This window comes from Homo sapiens, chromosome 4, assembly GCF_000001405.40.
Source record: "Homo sapiens chromosome 4, GRCh38.p14 Primary Assembly".
Taxonomy (NCBI): domain Eukaryota; kingdom Metazoa; phylum Chordata; class Mammalia; order Primates; family Hominidae; genus Homo; species Homo sapiens.
In genome coordinates, this window is record NC_000004.12 from 28,821,344 (window position 1) to 28,828,432 (window position 7,089).

At 38.2% G+C, this 7,089-nt stretch overlaps 1 pseudogene; it reads right to left on the reverse strand.

The window, feature by feature from the left end:
* On the reverse strand, positions 1,706 to 2,899 carry MESTP3 (mesoderm specific transcript pseudogene 3; annotated as a pseudogene).

Consider the following 7,089-nt stretch of genomic DNA (forward strand, 5'->3'; position numbering starts at 1 on the left):
TATATGTATTAACTCATTTCATTCTGCAGTAACTCCATGAGGAAGGTACTTACATTGTCTCTTTTTCACAAATGAGGAAAGGAAATTAATTTGACCAACATTCTATAATTTTAATGTGGGGGTACCAGAATTTAAACTCAAGTCTATAACTTTGCATTTGAACATTAGATCAGGAACATTCAAGCATTCATAGTAATGGGGATTTCTGGTGGTAGGTAAATCGTAGAAATAATTAGCTCCAATTCAAACATTCTGTCTCAGATTGTACATGAGAGATATCTTGGAAATGACACTTCTACAAAGTACTCGAGGAGATTCTGATACTGATGGCTCACAAAATACATGTGATGTTCCTTATTGTATTCCTTAAGCAAAAACCATAATTTGATTCTGTAACATAATTTAACTTTTAAAATTTTTAAATAAACAGCTACTTAAGCTTTACAATCAGAAACACTTAAGCAGCCCTACTGTTTTTAAGATGATATCATAATGACAAAGATCTAACTGTTCATGTCCTTTTATCTATTAATTATCAGTAAAGAGCCCTGAATTGTGACTTACATAATAGTTAAAAGACCACTAAGAACTTGTGTCACTTTCAGCAAGTCACCTATCCTGTCTGAGATTCCTTTTTCTGATCAAATAAAGAGCCAATAATTTAATTTTTTGCCACAGTTCATTTTTATTAATAGAAAATAAACACTTATTCCAGTTTCAAAGTTGTTATGCTTGAAGTTGCTAATTTAAATAAAACAAATTTTAAATAATCACTTAATAATCCTGCTTTGAAAGGCAATGAAATGTGGATTTTAAAAAGTAGTATTCAGCACCATTTGCTCATAGATCCTTCAGAATTTGTTCTTAAAGTTTCTGGAACTTTCCTGCCTATAAAGTACAGGAATTACTGAGTTACATTGGAAAGCCTCCCTGGGACAGGCACTGGGGAGGTAAGCAGCCATCACAAAGGAATCAGTGTACATTCAGCATGGTGACTTCACTACAAAACAATCCCTTCCCCTCTATGGTAGCTCAAGAGAGACATGCTCCTAAGCCCTGAGGTGTGAGGAATCTCAGACTGTTATTTGCTGTTAGAATTGCTCTTCTTAGCTAATAACAGTAAATCTCTGGCACAGATGCTATTGGTCCTTAATGTCCTGTGATTTTAGGAAATTCTGTAAATAGTTTGGGTTTAGGTCAATTTATTCAGAAATCAAACATGTTTAATTAGGTTCACTAATCTGGCAGAGTAAGGGTACACTGGTTTAATATCCTTATAAAATATATGTAATGTGTAGGTAAATCACAGTCTTAAATCATACATAGAATACTATTTTATTTAAACCAATATCTATTTTAACAAAATGTTTATAATTAAAAACAGCTGATGAAACTAAATCCAAAGGTATGACAAAGGGAACTCAGCTCTGTTGCTTAAGGAACTTTTAAAAAGCATGTGCCCATAAAGCCATTCAAGGACAGGGAAGGAGGTGCCCTTCTCTTCATTGTTACTGTAGAATTCCTGTTGGGGCTGGGCCAGAAATGAACAGTTCTAAATACTTCAGAGAAGTCCAAAGTCTTAAAAAGTCTTTTATGCAAAAAAATGTCTTTCTACATCAGTGAATAGTAATGCTCATCAGAATTTCCTAATAACACAAAAACAAAGCCCAGTCCATACATTGATAAGATATCAAAGTAATGGGAAGTGGACTATTATGTCAACCTTAGTCAGAGTTTCTGCTGGCTTATTCCTATATACTGTTCACCGATTTGAGTAAAGTGGATTTGTGAGAGAATAGTGTTTGAAGGCCAGGATCTCTTTTGGGCATTTCTTCCTAAGTGGAATACACAACAGATAAGGGAGTAGGGGAGGTAATACAGGGAAGTTACTCTTTCCAGCTCAGAAGGAGTTGATGAAGCCCAAAGAAGCCCATGGGATCCTCTAGCTGTAGATCGTGGCTAATGTGGACCACAGCAGCATTTTCCTGTACAGCTCCAAAAACCCTGGATAGGGGTTCACAGGATCCAATGGCCCATAGATAAAATGAATGGGGATAGTTACAGAGGCAAGAGCTCCCACCCAGTGCCTTCTAAACTTCTTCCTCCGATTGATGTACTGTAACAGACTGTCAATGACTAAGTTCCCATCGTTGTTGCGGATCCCTGCCCACATGTCCCATAGCTCAGTCTCAGAGTGCCGAGTATACGGCCCACAGACTGGGATGAGACTTCGAGAGAATACAGAGTTCATCAGCTGCGTGAGGACGGGTGACAGCACACGTCCATCTTTGAGTGGCTTCTAGAGGAGTGGATGGTGAGTCTCAGGAAAGATACCTCCATTTGACAGACAGAGACTCTTTATGGTAAGCCGACCAGACAGATTCTGCTTGTGCCTGTAGAGAAGTTCCTGAGCAACGGTATCTCCATAGTCATAAGACTAAAGGTTGATCCTGCGGTTCTGGAGCCCCAGATGCCCCAAAGAGCTTCCACGATGCTGGCCTGCTCAAATATGGAATAGTGATGTGGTCTCTGTTTGTCACTGAAGCCAAAGCCTAAGAAATCAAGGGCAATCACTCGATAAGACCTCAAGGTCAGACTTCCCAAATCTTGTACCAATCGTAGCTGGATGTTGGAAAGCCATGTAAAAGCACAACTATCTCCGGACTTCCAACCACACCCACAATGTCTTGGTAGAAGATACGCAGTCCCTTGTAAGTGAAAAACTTTACTGAAGACTTCTATGAGTGAAGGGTAGGGGACAGCTGAAGAGTTGGGATGTGCAGGTACGCAGCAAGCAGGGTCACGGCCAACAGCCCCACCTGGACCCCCCACTACCTCATCCTGATTTGGGTAAGACCTGGGCTACAGGACCCCATGTTTGGGAGAAACAGGTTGTGCAATAATTCCATTTTAAAAATTGTTTCCTATCAAGTGTTTTCTTAGTTTTGTCTTATGCGCTTTATTTGTGTCTGACCTAATTCATACTCTTCTTGTAACAAAAACAGGTGATACGACTCTTTTCTTATTTTATAGTGAATAGAACTGATGTGTAGAACCATAAGTGGTTTGGCAAGATGACAGGCAATAAGTAGCTAAGCTGCGATTCACAATCAGATATTTAAGCTATAACACCTCTTTTCTGAAAATTATGATAAAGATTTTACTTATTCAAGAAATTAATGACCCTTTTAGTTGTATAATTCTTCTATATTCAAGGTGTTAAGAATACTGTCTTAAAGCTGTGAGAGTTCATATAACTTCTGACAACTGACTCATATATTTGCAGGACGTTTTAGATGGAGAAAATCTGGCTCAGAGTTGCATAGAAAATCCGAAATAAATTTTGCTTTGCATTTCATACACTTTGACAATTATAATTGGTAGAAATAATAATGAGGCAAATGGTATTCTTCAGCTTGACTTGTTAACCACCTATTTCCTGCCTATAACCTTAGCAAAGAGAAAGTCCTACAGAAGGGCTTTGTTGTTATAATATTAGACTTCTCTAATTTCCCTTTGACCTCTTTGAATCAGGCTTCTTATCTGGGAATTTGACCAAAACTGTTCATCTCAGTATTTTTGATCTGCTCTAGGTACAGGAAAAGTGCCAAATTTTCAAGTTCATTATTTTAGCTCTTTTAAATTGTTGCTGATACCAAGGCAAAGGAGATTATATTTCAAAACAGAGGATACAACAACACCCATGACACGACTATGTAAAATCTCAGAGATGATTAGAACAATAAGGTCTCAGTATGCATTCCTATCTTATTATGGAGTCAATGAACTGCAAAGAACTTCAGAGATCTGACAGTTCAATATACTAGTTTTACAAATAGCGGAAAAGGGAAAGAAGAAAAAAATAAGGGAGGAAAAAAAGTTGGGGAGGGGGAGAAAGAAAGAGTAAAAAAGGAAAAAGGGAAGAGGAAAAGCAAGAAAAAGTAGGAAAACATTTAATTGGCATAAATATCTGCTAGGCATTATATTAGATGCATTATTTATATTATCACAGTTAATGATTTCATGGTTAGGAGGGAGTAATTTGTGGATTAAAAAAAAAAGCAGTATTTCAAGTACAATAAATAACCTTCCAAGACCTCGTCTATGGGGCAATTATCATCAGAAATAGTTTTATGTCATACCATTGATCGTGATGCTCAACACCATTAGTCTTCCTCAAAGGTCCCACACTAACTAGTGAAAGATCTGAAATTTGAATTCATTGTCCTGATTTCTCCCCTAGTACCCCTTCCATTATACCATGCCCCCTCTCCTTTATGCCATGTATGCTTATGAGGCATTGTACAGCACAGAGATGAGCATGTTCTCCAAATTCAGTAGATTACAGATTCTTCAAGTTGGGATAATAATGCTCAGAAGTGGGGCAGCTCTTTGGAAGCCAAATCCACTCTGAATTTACAGATGGGAAAATGAAAATAGGTGCAACTGTCAGTTTGATAGACCCAAGCAGATTGAACAATGTGATTATCAACGTAAAAATTATCATGTTTAGGTTTATGTTAGAGTTACAGAGTAACTCAGTTTTGTTATTTTAGAAGACTCATAAGAGGTTCTTTTTGTGTGATGCTTTAGACTTAAATGTTTTTAAAACAACAATGCTTACAACAATACTGTGAATTGAGTTATTAAATTCCCAAGTTTTAAAAGGGAGAAGCTTAACTAGGACTAGGAGAATTAGAATGAATTCTCTTTAGACTTAATAAACAGCAGAACTGGACATGAATCTAGGGAGTCTAGTGTATTTTAACTTATGTACAGCCAACTTGAACAGTTGATATTTATAGAACCATTTAACCAAGAGAACAACATTCATTTCAAGTGCACCTTTGTCCTTTATCAAGATAGGCCACATTTTATTTCTGAAACATTTAAGCCTTACTTTAAATGTCATTAAAAACTATTTATTAATAAATATTAATCAATAGCAATTTATTAATAGTAACAATTTTGTGTAAATGAAAACTATGTTTTAGCATTAGTTCTTCCTCATACATTGAGCTAGGTTTTTTAAATTTCCAATGCCTTTGTAATTTTGTGTTTTTAGGTGGTGATGATCATGAAAATATATTTCCAATAATGTGATTATATAATGCTCCATAAACATACATATTATTAAAAAGTCATACTTTTGTACAAAGAGTAGAAAATAAGTAATTAAAAAAACGTATTAAAGTCTCAGATACAAGTAATTTTCAAGGCTTCACCAGATCCTTTAACTTTTCTTCAAATAAATAACTTGTTTTGCAGCACTACTAGCTAAGATTAATGATTGCATCATGGGGTCATGGTATACAACGCAATTGAAGCAGTTTGATGCAAAATATATGCATTTGACATCACTTGTGCAACATTTAAGTACTTGTTGAAATCTTAGGTTCTTTGCAGACATGACCACTTAACAACTGGGTTAACTTAATTACTCTACTTTACCTTCTTGAGTTTAAATTCAATAATCTCATTTGGAAATAAAGCACATAATTAATTTTGAGGGGGAAATTAATACAATATAAGTTTTTTTAAATTTTCAAATTAGCAATTTTACATAATAGTCAAAAAGCATCAGCACAAAAAAGGAAAGAAAGAGGAAAAAATAAAAGAAAAAGAAAATGTTCTAAATGAGTAGGTTTACCAATTTCTGAGAGACTGTCATTTAAATTTCAAGAAAATATTTATTAATCATCTATTACATGACAAGCATGATATAAAAAAAACTCGGAATACTAAGATTTAAAATACATGAGAGGCATCCAAAAACAGTCCCCAGAAACCAAAAACAATTATTAATAGAACTACCATACATTCAGTGACCCTACTTCTAAGATATCAAGGTGTATATATCCAAAGGAAACAAAATCATTACCTTAAAGAGATAGCTGCATCCACATATTCATTGCAGTATTAGTTATGATAACTAAGATATGGAAACTACTTAAGCGTCCATCAGTGGTTGAACATATAAAGAAAATGTGCTACATACACATAATGCATTACTATTCAGCCATTAAAAAGAAGGAAATCTTGCCATTGTGACAAAAAAGATGAATCTGGAGACCATTATGCAAAGTAAAATAAATCAGATACAGAAAAACAAACGTTGTATAATCTCACTTACTTTGGAATCTAAAAAATGTCGAACTCATAGAACCAAAGAGTAGAATGGTGGTTGCCAAGGTCCCGCGGAGAGGGTAAATGGGAGATATTAGTCCAAGGCCAAAGGGTACAAACAATGTTTTAAGATGAATAAGTTCTGTAAATCTAACAACATGATGACTACAGTTAATAATCTTATATTGTTACTTGAAATCTGCTGAGAATAGATTTTCAGTATCCTCACCACACACTTACACACACAAACACAGAAGAACAAATGGTAACTAAGTGTGATATTGGAACTGTTAATTTGATTCTGATAATTATTTTACAATGTATATGTATATTAAATAATCATATTGAGAGGTGACAGCGTGCTGGCAGCCCTCTCAGCCCTCGCTCAATCTCGGCACATCCTTGGCCTCGGCGCCCACTCTGGCCGCACTTGAGGAGCCCTTCAGTCTGCTGCTGCACTCTGGGAGCCCCTTTCTGGGCTGGCCGAGGCTGGAGCCGGCTCCCTCAGCTTGCAGGGAGGTGTGGAGGGAGACGCGTGGGCGGGAACCGGGGCTGCCCACGGGCTTGCTAGCCACCGCAAGTTCCAGGTGGACGTGGGCTCAGCAGACCCCACACTCGGAGCTGCTGACCGGCCCTGCCAGCCCTGGGCAGTGAGGGGCTTAGCACCCAGGTCAGCAGCTGCCGAGGGTGCGCCGGGTTCCCCAGCACTGCCGGCCCGCCTGCACCCCATTCGAATTCTCGCCTGGAATCAGCTGCCTCCCCGCCAGGAAGGGCTCCAGACCCGCAGGCCGCCATGCCTGATCCTCCACCCCCGCCTCCCCGCGGCTCCTCTCTCCCCCACCCTTCCCCCCTCCCACCTCCTCGATCCCCCCTCCCCACTGCGCCCCATCCATTCCACCACCCAAGGGCTGAGGAGTGCAGTCGCATGGCGCCCGGGACTGGCGGGCAGCTCCACCTGTGGCC